This window comes from Homo sapiens, chromosome 7 (genome assembly GCF_000001405.40).
Source record: "Homo sapiens chromosome 7, GRCh38.p14 Primary Assembly".
In the NCBI taxonomy this organism is placed as follows: Eukaryota; Metazoa; Chordata; class Mammalia; order Primates; family Hominidae; genus Homo; species Homo sapiens.
The window spans coordinates 120,978,190-120,992,596 of NC_000007.14; the positions used below are offsets into that span (position 1 = coordinate 120,978,190).

At 38.4% G+C, this 14,407-nt stretch overlaps 1 protein-coding gene and 1 pseudogene across 5 annotated transcripts in view, besides 1 other annotated feature; one reads left to right on the forward strand and one right to left on the reverse strand.

Moving 5' to 3' along the window:
* On the reverse strand, positions 3,237-3,364 carry RNA5SP240 (RNA, 5S ribosomal pseudogene 240; annotated as a pseudogene).
* Positions 9,698-9,777: an enhancer, noted in NCBI's record as "active region_26556". NCBI's record gives its function as "activates an Ori minimal core promoter by ATAC-STARR-seq in GM12878 lymphoblastoid cells {active_cell/tissue: GM12878}" and the evidence as "EXISTENCE:reporter gene assay evidence [ECO:0000049][PMID:35858748]".
* Positions 10,522-14,407, forward strand: part of CPED1 (cadherin like and PC-esterase domain containing 1) — a 308,732-nt gene continuing 304,846 nt past the window's right edge. For 3 of the 5 annotated variants that reach the window (NM_024913.5, XM_047420856.1, XM_047420857.1), the window contains exons 1-2: positions 10,522-10,723; positions 11,202-11,681. In NM_024913.5, coding sequence (NP_079189.4) covers positions 11,433-11,681 — 249 coding nt within the window. In that variant the 5' untranslated portion in view covers positions 10,522-10,723; positions 11,202-11,432. Of the gene's footprint in view, positions 10,724-11,201; positions 11,682-14,407 lie in introns of those variants that run through there. The other 2 variants (XM_024446941.2, NM_001105533.1) reach the window with 1 other exon arrangement.

Here is a 14,407-nt window from a genome sequence, read left to right on the forward strand (position 1 = left end):
TAATAAAATCAAAACTGCTGAACTAGTTTGTAGTTTCTGATCCAGGATCTTAATATTCATGATCTGATTCTGCTACAGAGAAATTAAAGTGATTTAAAGATGAACTAACCTCAGATTTCTGGGTTTTTCTTTTGAGTGAGTGTCTCACTCTGTCACCAGGGTTGGAGTACAGTGGCACAATTACAGCTCACTGCTGCCTCTACCTCCTGGGTTCAAGCGATCCTCCTGCCTCAGCCTCCTGAGTAGCTGTGACAGCAGGCATGGACCACCACTGGCTAATTTTTATATTTTTTGTAGAGATGGGCTGTCACTTAGTTGCCCAGGCTAGTCTTGAACTCCTGGCCTTAAGTGTGTGTGCCCAGGCTAGTCTTGAACTCCTGGCCTTAACTAGCTGTTTTTTTTTTTTTTTTAAATTGTTTTTGTTTGTTGGTTGGTTGGTTTTTGAGATGGAGTCTTGCTCTGTTCCCCAGGCTAGAGTGCAGTGGCATGATCCTGGCTCACTGCAACCTCCGCCTCCCAGGGTCAAGTGATTCTCCTGCCTCAGCCTCCCGAATAGGTGGGATTACAGGCACGCGCCACCATGCCCAGCTAATTTTTGTATTTTTAGTAGAGGCAAGGTTTCACTGTGCTGGCCAGGCTGGTCTTCAACTCCTGACCTTGTGATCTGCCTGCCTTGGCCTCCCAAAGTGCTGGGATTACAGGCATGAGCCACTGTGCCAAGCCAGTTGTTTATGTTTTAAGCAGTAAGTCTCATATACCTTCTAAGTCTGTGTTTTAACTAATAGATTGTTAGATGCCTACGCATTATTAAAATATTTATTTGAAAGCAATTTAATAATTTCTTAATAAATTCTCCAGAGCTATATAATTCAGTTTTTAGTTAATCAGGTACCACTTTTAACTTTCTTCACTGTTAAATTACAGAAGAGAACATTATAATCATTCATCTTTCTGCTGCTTATTAAAAGTTCAAGATTTGATGGAACTTATTGCCAGTGTGGGACGTGAGAGTGTGGCTGTGTGTGTCTGTTGATGTGTTGTTTATTCACTTTCTCCACCTCTACCTGCCTACGTTAATTCATACGAATAGCTCTACTTAGGAAGGTGTATACTAGTGTGCTGCTAGTCTTTGAGGATGGACTAATTTAAAACATTTACAGGTTTAATAAAGTTAGTGTTCATATGTTAATTATTTTTTGCATTGTTAAGTCTGCTCCAGTACAGGAACCCTCCATACTGATGCGCTAAAATAAGAACAATTGTAACAGGTATCAAGTTATTTGTATAAGTCAAATGTAATGCCCCATACATTTGAGTTGAGCATAAATATGAGGCAATCCATTAGAACAATTTAATATTATAACTAGTTTTAATATTTAAACTATTTGGTTTTAATAAAACTAGTTAAAATGTTAGTAAAATCATTCTAATGGATTGCCTCATATTTATGCTCAGGTAAATATGAGGTATTAGTAAAATCTAATTCTAATGGGATATGACCTCCCTGGTATATATCCCATTAGAGTTTATCAAAGTTTATGATTATATCCTTGAAGTATTTGTGTATTTATCTTAATATGGTCATTCATTTTTTTTCTTGAATACTTTGAGGAACTGGTTGTAAAGATAATTTTTGTGGGTTTCCCAAATGTGCCAAAACACATTTTCACTTTACCAGTGGTCACCATGCATAAATGTTTTTAAAAGAGTGATCTGTTGAAAAAAGAAAAAAAAAGCTTATATATTGTTAGGGATCATACGGTTTAGATTAGATAGAGAAGGAACCTTTTGACTTCATGTGGTGGAATGTGACCAAAGGGCTATGCTCAGTCAAAGAATGTTTCCTTCTTACCCAGCCAGATTAGCTATGTGAATGCCAGCATTCACTGAAGTGATGAGACAAAAGCTTTCTCCCTCCCATCCACATCACACACATCAATTTTCAGATAGTCAAATGACACTTATATAAAAGTTTTAAAATGCCTTTTATTTTCTGAAAATGGAAATGACTGTCTGAATTGTGAATACATTAAAAAAAGAAAGCAAGAAAAAAGGAAAAGAAAATAAGAAAGCAAGCTAAATTATGTGGCTATCTTGAGTCATTTACAAAAATGTATACAGTTTCCAAGAATCTTGTTTTGCAGGTTTACAGAGAAGACACATGAGATTCTTCATGGAGAACATTGTTTGATCTGTCATACAACAAATGAAAGTTAAATATTTTCATGTTTTATATATTATTGAACTGATTAAAGCAGAAATTCTGGCTCCATACCAAGGTATAAATTTATGTCCTGAAGAAAGTAATGAAAAAAATAGTATAATTCATTGGGTTAAACATTTACCCAATGAAATGTTTACCTCATCCCTCCCACCTGCCCCGATTTTACATGTGTGCCCACTAATTGAAGTGATTCTACCTGTCTCTCTTTTAGAATGTGTGTATACATATATACAGATGTATCTCTATATCTGTATATATAATCTTTTAGAGGATGCAAATTTCAAAAACAAATTTGAGAGGCTTAAAGGAAATTATATGCCCAAAGTTGCATTTGTTTTGGGGAGCAGTATAATTACACATTCGGGAAATGGCTAAAATTCTAAGGAAGTTAATCATGTCATTGCCATAAGCTGCTGAGGCACTCACTATTGTAACTTTAGTAACAGACAAATTTCAGGTAGCCGTATGTAAAAAAAATGTGCAACAGCTATTTGTTCAGTTAATTTTGAGTTTCTTTACCTTAGCACTTTAAATAAATGCTGATTTTTATAGGTTTTGGGGGTACATGTGCAATTTTGTTACATGGCTCTATTGCATAGTGGTGAAGTCTGGGCTTTTAGTGTATCTGTTGCACAAATAGTGAACATTGTACCCAATAGGTAATTTTTCAACCCTCAGTCCCCCTCCACCTCACCACCTTCCTTTTGGGCTCTCCAATATCTGTTATTCCACTCTGTCTGTCCATGGTATAGCCATTGTTTAGCTCCCACTTATAAGTGAGAACATGTGGTATTTGATATCTTATTTCACTTAGGAAAATGCCCTCCAGTTCCATTCACGTTGGTGCAAAAGACATTATTTCATTCTTTTTTTAATGGCTGAATAGTACTCCTATGGTGTGTGTGTGTGTTGTGTGTGTGTGTATTACATTTTTTAAATCCAATCCACTGTAGATGGACATTTAGATTGATTCTATATCTTTGCTATTGTGACTAGTGCTGCAATAAACATAGGAGTACAGGTATCTTTTTGACTAATTGTGTCTTCTGTCTAAGGAATAATCAGGCCTGATGGCCTGACCCTGCTTAACTTCTGAGATCAGATGAGATCAAGTGTGTTCAGGGTCGTATGGCTGTAGACTGATATAATGATGCCTTTTCCTTTGTGAAGATACCCTGTATAGGATTGCTGGATCCAATGGTAGTTCTGTTTTTAGTTCTTTGAGAAATATCCATAGGGTTTTTCATAGAGGTTGCATTAATTTACTTTCCCACCAACAGTGTATAGGGTTCCCTGTTCTCTCTGCATCTTCACCAACACCTTTTGTTTTTCTGTTTTTTGTTTTGTTGTTTTGTTTTAGAGTCTCCCTCTGATGCTCAGGCTGTAGTGCATCTCAGCCCACTGCAACCTTTGCCTCCTGGATTTAAGCAATTCTTGTGCCTCAGCCACCTGAGTAGCTGGTATCACAGGCATGCACCACCATTCCCAGCTACTTTCTGTAGAAAGTAGAGATGCAGGTTTGCCATGTTGGCCAGGCTGATCTCAAACTCCTGGGCTCAACTGCCTCAGCCTCCCAAAGTGCTGGGATTACAGGCATGAATCACCATGTTCGGTCATCTTTTGTTTTTTGACTTTTTGCCATTCTGACTGGTGTAAGATGGTATCTCACTGTGGTTTTAATTTGCATTTCTCTGGTTAGTGATGTTGATTTTTTCGTATGTTTTTTAGCCACTTGTATGTCTTCTTTTGAAAAATGTTCATGCTCTTTGCCCATGTTTTGATGGGGTTGTTTTTCTGTTGTTGTTTGAGTACCTTGTAGATTCTGGATCTTAGCTCTTTGTTGGATGCATAGTTTGCAAATATTTTCTCTCACTTCCAGGTTGTCTGTTTGTTGATTATTTCTTTTGCTGCCCAACCTCAGCACTTTCAACACTTTGTGCCAAATGACTCTTCGTCGTGGGGGCTGTCCTGTAGACTGGAGGATAAATTTAGCAGCACTCCTGGCCTCTATACACTAGGAGTCAGTAGCATCTCTGCCACTGCCTTACCACCCCCTGCCAGTTGTGACAACCAAAAATATCTCTAGAATTACCAAATGTCTCCTGTTTGGGGGGACAAAACTGCCTCTACTTAGTTAAATGTTACCATAATGTGAAACCTTGTGGAAAAATTCAAATAATAATGGGAAATATTTGAATTTTTGATGTGTAGAATTCTATAAACATAAATTTTTTAAACAATCACTTGCCAAGGGTGCTAGATGCTCCCAGGGGATGGAGGCGAGTAAAATCTTCCATTGTAAGCAGTTTATATGGCAAAAGATTATAAGTACACTAGTAACTAAAATACAGCACAAGTGTAATGAAAACAATTCTGGTACTGGTGCAAGCAAATTCAAAATGCCTATTAAAAAGAGTAAGTTGTGAAAAATAAAGTGACCCATTGAAAAGAGTGGAAAACTGAAATGTGTATGTCCCATTTAAAACAGGCAGCACCAAGTGTTAGCATAGGGGAACTCCAGGTGATTTGTATGCTCAGAAACACAGGTCTGATGTACAATCTAAGATTAAAAGCATTTACTTTGGAGGATTTGGTCTATCTGGACTGTTTGTTCATCTAGAAACTTACAAAGAGATTGGCAAACAAAAACTAAGAAAGGAATAGTAGCAAAATGAAGAATTTTCAGTGCGGCATTGTACTTCCACATGTAAATTGGACAAATGCTGTGCACAAGGGGAGTCCTGGACATTCTTCCTATCACCCTTTGACACAATTCCTGGACCTTTGCCATATCCTGCTACCACCCTTCACAGCCTAGGGTGGTTTTAGGACCACTGAAAAGGAAGAGGGAAATTTTTTTTTTGACTCTTAAAAATTATATTTATCATAATGATTATCATTTTTTAATGTTTCACTAAAATAGTCTATTGGATAGTCTATTTTAAAATATTGCTCCATACTGATATGCCAAGGTTTTGCTCCTATTATTATACTTTAAGTTTTAGGGTACATGTACACAACGTGCAGGTTAGTTACATATGTATACATGTGCCATGCTGGTGTGCTGCACCCATGAACTCGTCATTTAGCATTAGGTATATCTCCTAATGCTATCCCTCCCCCCTCCCCCCACCCCACAACAGTCCCCAGAGTGTGATGTTCCCCTTCCTGTGTCCATGTGTTCTCATTGTTCAATTCCCATCTATGAGTGAGAACATGCGGTGTTTGGTTTTTCGTCCTTGCGATAGTTTACTGAGAATGATGATTTCCAATTTCATCCATGTCCCTACAAAGGACATGAACTCATCATTTTTTATGGCTGCATAGTATTCCATGGTGTATATGTGCCACATTTTCTTAATCAAGTCTATCATTGTTGGACATTTGGGTTGGTTCCAAGTCTTTGCTATGTGAATAGTGCCGCGATAAACATACGTGTGCATGTGTCTTTATAGCAGCATGATTTATAGTCCTTCGGGTATATACCCAGTAATGGGATGGCTGGGTCAGGAAATATTCATTTTTAAAAAAATGCATAGAAAGCATCATAAAAGATTCAGGCGTCTTAAATTGAAGTCCATAGTCTGTACAAAAGTTACACTCTGTGTATACATAACTCTGAAATAATACATCATCAGGCGTATTTGCATATACCTTAATTGAATACAGCATTTGTCTCCTAAGGGACAGTTAAGGACTCTAAGGCAGGAATCTGACATTTTACACAGATTTTAAAATTAAATCTTACATGTGTTTTGCAATAGAATAAGCACATGTATTTGACTCATGTTGTTCTTTTCCCACCTATAAAACTAGGAGATTTTGCTTTGTGAGTTTACAATAGAAGACAATAGTAACATAACAATATTCTCAGGTAATTGGAGACAATGGTCACCCTACCCTGAAAACTACCATATCTTCATTAATAAATCTGGGAAAGAATTATTTTGGATTCCTACTGTCTGCAGATAAAGGCTAAATAAACTGTTAAACTTGGAAATGATAGCCCTCCTTGATCTGTACCTAAACGTAACACTCTTTTTCGGCTATATCTCGGTGGTTTCCTACTAAGACATAAGACCTTTATTTTCCCTCTTGCAGTAGTTGAAATCTTTGTGACTTGTTAGGGCCCAGTTGGGAAGTGGTTACTTTTTTCTTATCACCTCTCAAAAGATGTGAACTCCTTATTTTGATTCTCCATGTTGCTTGGAATATATCCATCTTAGTTGTGGCTGGGACTGCTATCTGTTTATCAGCCTTATTTCCTTTTCCTCCTGGGCATGTAACTAGATCTCATTTCACAACTCCATTTCTGTTAGGTGGGTCCATGTGAGTAGGCTCTGGACAATAGAACATGGCACAAGAGGTATATGCCAATTTGAAGCTTGGCCCATAAAAGACCTCCCACAAAATTCACCATGCCCTTTCTCATTCATTGTCTGCTAATGGGAGGCAGAGGATCCCAATGAGTATCCAAGATTCTAGGTTATGGAAAGTCACCAGGTGGAAGGACCTTAGGTACCAAATGTCTTAGAGAAAACTGACAAACACTTAAAAATGTTGTGAGTGAGAAATGAGCTCTTATTGTATCAAGCCAATGAAATTTTATGGTTATTTTTACAGTTATTTGTTTCAGCAGTTATCCTGCTGTGACCCATTCATCAGTGTGTTTCTTATATTTCAGTTGTTCATAGTATTTGTCATATGTCTTCTGTTTTTCCCAGCACCTAGGATGATGTTTCTGCATAGTAGAGATTCAATGTGTCATTCAGGGTTTAAAAACCTCATCTTAAGTTCATAGCTTATGGGGCAAGTTCTAGAGTCAGCATTAGATAAGAGGTGATAGGAGCTGAGAAGAGGGCTGTCAAACTTTCTAGGGAAGAGGGACTGGAAGGTTAGAGACCAGGCATTGCTGATAAGACTTCCAGCACTTAATCCATGACGTCACTGCTAGTAACTACAGCTGGATTTTACCTTATCATAGTCAGATAATATCTTGAAAGGGAAAGGCTGTTCCCTGCAGGAAAGCAACAGAGCCCAGAATCTGAAGACAGAGAGGAAATCCATGTCAAAATGTATCCCTAAAAGCATACATTTTCGTAGCCTAGGGTGACCTTTGAGGTCATCAGTTGATCCCTGAAACTCCTGTTTTATGAGAAAGATGGGACTCAGAGGGATAGAGAGATATATTACTTCCCCAAAGTTCCTAATCCAACACTGGAATTTTATGTTAAGAATATTTTTATTCCCTTAGTTAAAAAAAATTTAAAAAAAATACCTTCTTCAAACAATTATTTGAGTGCATACTTTCCTCTTACACCTACTCCATACCAAAGACCAAATGAAATGTGTGGGAAGGGAGCGTATATTTTGTGTTGGAGAGGTTTGGGGAGAAAGATTGTTCTGTTTTGTCCAAGCTCGAAATGATAGGATCCTGAAAGGCCTGTTAATCTATTGTCCCAGATTAATCTGCTTAAATACAGGCCCTTGAATACTGAAATTATTTAGTGTAAAGTGTACTTTATGAAATTATATGCACAAAAGCATTTAGTCTGAAATACTGCCAGAATCTACAGCCTCGTATTTCTCGTGAATATTTACCCTCTAACCCCATCCCTAAATTAACTTGTTCTCTGTCTTTATTATTCCCTATTTTTTTGTTTGTTTGTTTGTTTTGTTTTGTTGTTTTTGAGACATGGTCTCACTCTGTTGTCCAGGCCAGAGTACAGTGGCACAATCATGGCTCACTGTAGCCTTGACCTCCCTGGGCTCAGGTGATCCTCCTACCTCAGCCTCTTGAGTAGCTAGGACCACAGGCACACACCAACAGGCTTGGCTAATTTTTTGCAGAGATGGAGTTTCGCCATGTTGTCCAGGCTGGTCTGAGACTCCTGGGCTCAAGTGATCCTCCCGCCTTGGCCTCCCAAAGTGCTGGGATTACAGGTGAGCGACATCGCAACCGGCCTCATTCACTCTTCTGACTCCTTCAAGCTCTGTCATTCCATTCGAATGTGTGTAACCTACTGCTCAGGTGTAAATACCTCTCAGGTAGAGTCTCCACATGCTGCTTTCATGCCACCCTTGCCCTTGTCCTCCCAAACCAGCATCTGCTGGTGGGTGCACTTCTATCTCAAAGAGGGAAAGGAAGAGAACTAAGAGCTCATGTTTGCTTTTGGTGTCTAGATGTTCCACGGGACTCATTATTTGATAATTATCTTTTTACGTGTCTGACACCACATCTCCCATAAACTCAGTGAGGAAGGAGCACAGCCTCAGGATTCAAACCTTAACATACATGCATTCAGCATTCATTTATCCAGCAAATACAGAATGCTTAGTTGCTTTCCATATATTATCTCAACTAGTTGTACCAACAACACTTCAAAGGAAACATTAGTATCCTTATATCACGAATGAGGAAAGCTGAGACTTTGGTCAAACCACTTGTTTAAGAACAGCTGATAAAAGGCAGTGCCATGAATCATATCCAGATTGGGTTTACTCTAAAATCAGATGCTTGTGTATCGCCTTAGTCTATTTGGTGATAATTCCTGCTATATCTCCTTTCCACCTCTTGTTTGCACCTTCTCAAGCTACCTCTTTTCTCTCTCTTGCAAATATTTCCTTACTGCTTTCTTCCACTCCCTTGGACTCAGTGGTTAAAATGGGAAATGGGGTTCTTTAATCTACTAGAATCATTTCTGGGATACTAATTTTCCACCTTCTTCCCAATTCCCATTATTTGAAGTCTAGCTATATTATCTTAAAATTTTCAATACTGTTGTCTTTCATTTCTCCCAACCGAATGGCAATTTTATTTTAGCATCTGATTTACTTTCTTCTGTACCTTGTTCTCAACAATTTAATAAAGCATAAGAATGACTCTTTAGATTCCCCAAACTCTGTTTTTCAGACTTCTTGCCTTAACAGAACTTAATAGAACTGTCTGCCTATTCCTTATCACTCAGTAACAGCATTGTCACACCCTGGATTCCAATTTAGAAATCTCACAATTCTTATTATCTCTCAAATCACATTGCATCCACCAAAACGATATGTCCTACAACACCACTGTTCAGCCATTTTCTCTTAAAACTCTTTTGGCTTCTAAAAGTGAAGCATCACTTTATTTTTCTCTATCCCATTTGTCATAAGATTAAGGACTCTGAACCTATACATAAAATAATATTAAAGCCACTGGAGGCGATACATGCAAGGGCTTGGGATAAATCCAGCTTCCGTGTGAATATTTCTTCTGTAATGTGTTAATTAATTTGTTCTATAGGATGTTAAAAGGGTTTCTTTCTCACAAGCAAGGAACTCTAGATGCCCATTTCTCTGAATCTGTGCTAGCTGGGCACCCCTAGGGGGCGCTCCGTCTCTCAAAATACAAGGGGCTGACAGCAGCGTGCCTCTGGGTGAGGCTCACTCTAGGGGTGTGGCCTCACGGAGAACCTCAACCCACAAGAGTTTGGCTTAGAAACAAGTTTGAAAACCTCTTCAGGTCCAGAGCCTTTAAATAATGCCTGCTATGCGCTAAGACAGCCCTGGGTATCCAGAGTTCACAAAGCAAGGACTGATTTCCTTTCGCCTTGACAGCCTCAGCAAAAGTGGAAGGGGGTTTGCAGAATTGCACTATTAGCAGCGTCCACCCGAAGGTCTGCACAGAATTAGACTGAGCTGATTCTGGACAAAGCCCACTGTGTACCTTTATCTACTGGGCAAAAGTTACCCCCAACACCTGCTATAATCGACTCATTTTAGGAGCAAAATGTCAGGCCATGAAGCATCAGATCATTGAAAGACCCAATTAATTAGTCCAGGAAAGGAGTAATAAGAACATCTGTGATCTGAGTTCCATACTAAGACACAGAGAGACGACTGAGTTATTCTGGTGCTTGCTGTCTGAGGTCCAGACAGTACTTGTGACCCTCTTATCCTCAGAAGAGTAACCACAATTCCCTGGAGTGAAGAATATCCCAATTCACTCATGGAGTTCACTTTAGTCTCATTCTCGACCTTTGTCACCAATTGGCTAAGGCTATTTGTTTTTCCAATTCTGTATTAGGAAAAAGAAGTTGCACAGAGGATCAGACATCAGATACGTTTCTAAATTCTGCAGCTCTGGGTGGGCAGCCTCATTTGGGGAAATGCTAGCTGCTGTTTCCAAAGTGGGGAAGCCCACGGTTTCGGACACAGGGCTGACAGCGCTGCTCCAGCAGCCCCCAGGGCCAGAGGAACCCGGCCTTAGCTCCGCCCCGCTCTGCCCGGCCCCGGGTGGCTGCGATGCCGAGGTCCTCTGCTCCCGCCGGGCGTGCAGCGGGCGCGCGCGCGTGTGTTTATGTGTCTGTGTGCGTGTGTGTGTGTGTCTCTCTCTGTGTGTGTGTGAGATGAATTGGAGTCATACGACTGGGTGTTTCCTTCCGAGTGGTTTTCATCAGCAATCCATTAGGAAATCATGGAAACTTTTTTTTTCCTGGCTAAAAGGATGAAAACTGAGTAAGTACATAGAACTTTGAACTTGAGACGGAATGAAACAAATTCAAGCAAAAACCCTGACAGTAACCATGTCCATTCAAATTGCGTATGCCCTTTTTATGTTAAAAGCCGTGAATACTTACAGGACAGTGGGAATTTAAAACTAAATGAAGGGAAGCATACAAAAGGCTGAAAGCAAGACTGCTTTAAAACCGGAGGAAAATTGAGGAACTGCTAAGGCAACCTGGCCTGAGTTCAGCTGTGCAACAGGCACTTTGGGTTTTAATCTTTTGCGTTCTTCAATGCTGTTTTCAGACTCCAGATATACTTTGGTATTGTTTTCTCTCTTCCTGCAAAGCTGAGGCAGAGTCGGACTCCTTTACTGTGAGTTGAAAGATGTGAGAATAAGGCATTGCTGGAAGCAACAGTTTGGCAGCCTGGGGTACACTCAGGTTATTCGTTACAACTATTATTATTTGATGTCTTTTTTTAAACTCAGGTCATCCACTTTTGACTGTCATCCATGGAAGAGCTCTTATTAAAAGCCTCAGACTTTCGGGACCTATGATTCTTTGGCACAACCTTTTGGAAAATTCTTAAGCAGGGATGAAGCAAACTTGATTGGAGTTGGGGAAAAAGAAGACAGATTAGTATTTTTCATGCTGACAAAAAATAGCTGCTATGACTTTTCCCGCAACGTGGACAGGGGCCAAGTGAAGCTGAACTGGTCATGGTCTGTCGCCCAGTGTTCCCTTGTCGTCGGCGATTTTGCCCCCGACCCTTCTTGGTGGGCTTAGTGGTGGCAATCTGTCTCTTCTACCAGACTCTGACCCTCCGAGGGTCGAGGAAGCTCACAGCCGCTGCCCCTGGGGCTGTCCCACACACATCCACTGAAACCCAGGCAAGCAGATGCAAGAAAGGATTCTCTCAGGACAAACAGTGCTTCCTTCTCTCTGGTAATGCCCAGGAAACCAGAAAGGTAAGACTCTCATAAGCTTAACGGAGACAGTTTCTGCAAAGACAGCAATCTGCTTCTCTGTCCTTTCTATAAAACTAAAATTAACTTCCATGAGGTCTGAAAGGGATCCAGAGTGTAAACAGCCTAGAGAGTGACCTGATGACTGGGAAACACGTTACATAAGCTTCAACTTCTTATAGTTACTTCCAGAAAGTTCTGGCATTACTTTATCTCTTAGGATTTCACTTCATTTCAGTGGAATGAAGTAGACAGTTTGGAGGAGGCATAAAATGATGTGGATTCTTTCTAAAATATCAGTATTCTAAGAGATCTGAGGATTTACAATTCAAAAACATAAATCAAAGTTTCAAAAACTTTGATAAACCTTGAGTGTCTCTTTTCTCAAGGCAGTCAGTATGAGTGCCCAGACCATTCCAGACTCAAAGATTCTCCAAAGTTTCATTTTGTAACTAGCTAGATTGATTCTTAATTGGTGACCACATTTCTAAAGCAATATATTTACTTCGAAAGCATTAAAATAATAGGATAATAGGTTTCTTCAAAAGAATTGATACAATGTATTTTATTGTTTATAGGATCAGGGAAATACAGATTATTCTATATTTATACTATTCAGATAAACTTACTAATCTTACTTGTCAAATATTGAAAAAAAACACAAAAAGCACACAAAGTAACACAGGATTTCTATTTTAATATACCACTCTCCTCATGCCTATCAGTAATATAATGACCTGTAACATAGTCAAGTGTAAAACAGAACATGAAGAAATAAAAAAAAATCCATGCAAAAAAGATCATGGTGGCAAAGCTACTAAATTTTATGTTACAACAAGTAGTATTGTAGCAACAAAATAGAGGGCTCTGTAAGTAGCATCTTATATCTACAGTAGATTCTGGTCGATCTTATGATGCCGGTTACCGTTTGAAGTAGAATTTCTACTTGAACACCAGCTCCGTTGCTACCATTATTACCAAAACCTCCACGATTGACCAGCACCACTTCTTTTAAAAACTCTTTTATTTATTTCGTTTCAGACTACTGCCCTGTGAGACAGGTACAGTAGATAGGATTATTAGCATTTTATGAACAAGGAGCCTGACAGTGCCATTTAGGTAGGTCACATGGTTAGCATTATGACAAGATGCATCCCCAGAGCAATAGCTATCAAGCTGCTTGGTTCCTACTGCAGGGCTGATGCTCCAAATAAAAGTCAATTCAAAGCCCTTGTAATAATTTTTGAAACCACAACTACAAGAACTTACTGAAATACAAAATAACATTAAGTTAAAACAAGGAAAATTTTAAACTTTTAAGTGACTTCATTTGTTATCCGTAATGCCAGGAAACATCCTGACCAAGAACTATCTTATGACAAAGAATAGTAGATAATATAAGTTGAAACACTTTAAAATGAAACTGCAACTGAAATTGTACATCTATTTTTAGGCACAGTAAAGTTATTGAAGAATGTGTATTTTTGTTGTTGTTGTTCATTTATACTAGCATTAACTTTTTTCTTTTCCTGACTACATCACAGTTACAATGGATGTAAACTGTGACTGTTAAAGTCATTTCTTGTTAGTTTCAACATTGAGAAAGGCAATTTCTTAAAAAATAGTTGAGATAGTCTTGCTCTTATTTAATGCCTAAAATTTTTGCTAGGAATTTTGAATGAAAAGGTTTTATTCATGAACTTACAGCTTTCTTACTCCCCTTGTTCACTCTGTGTGATTCCTACTTTGTTTGTAATTTAGGCATATGTTAGCTGTTATTTGTGGGCTGTCATAGAAAATTCGATTTCAACTTTGAATCTCCTACTACTTATAAACCATCTGAAACTTACTGGCTCCTGGTGTAAAACATTCACTTGAGAATTTTCTTCACCAAAAATGCCAAACACATGATGAATTTCGTTTAAAAATGATTCACAGTCTTAAGTATTTTAACTGTAAGCAAGATTCTAAATTTACAATTATAGTTCAGGAGCCCAGTGGATATGGAAAGTAGATTTCCAAACATTAGCCATGTCACTCCATTTTTAACCTATGCCAGCCCCTGGATTAAAGCCACTTTTTATTTGAGACAGAAAGGAAGTGAGAAAGAAAGTATCATACACATGTTAATTAAAACCAGATACAAATTAATTCTACTTATAGTATATGTTTTGAAAAAAGAGTCAAATCATACTCCAATTTAAATTATTAGATACTCTTTCAGATGGCTAAAATGAAGAGAGAAAGCTTTTGGGATCAATATATTGATCATTTTCTAAAGTAACTACTTGTGAAGTTCATTTAAAAAAACTGATTAGATGCTATATAGGTTTCCTGAAAACCTAGAATTAGCTTTGAGGCATTTTATAGAAGTAGCATTGTTTCTATCTGTAAATTTTGGATTTTGTTATTACTTTTATTTAGTCAAATCTTAGTCAAATCTTTGCTTTAAGTGTTTTTAAAAGTTACTTAAACCAGCTGATTTTGACCTAGGGTTCATGGATTCCAGAATGTATTTAGATGTATGAAATGTATACATCCATGACATTTTATGCAAAATACTGTAATGTAGGTGTATGTGAAGATCTTTGGGGGGAAAATTATAGATTTATGTCAGATATTCAGAACTAAAAACATGCTAAGAACCACTACAAATGCTTAACAACCAGTATGTTTACATGTTAAACTAACTGCCCCTCCAGGATGTGTAAACTGGATGTAGATTTAAA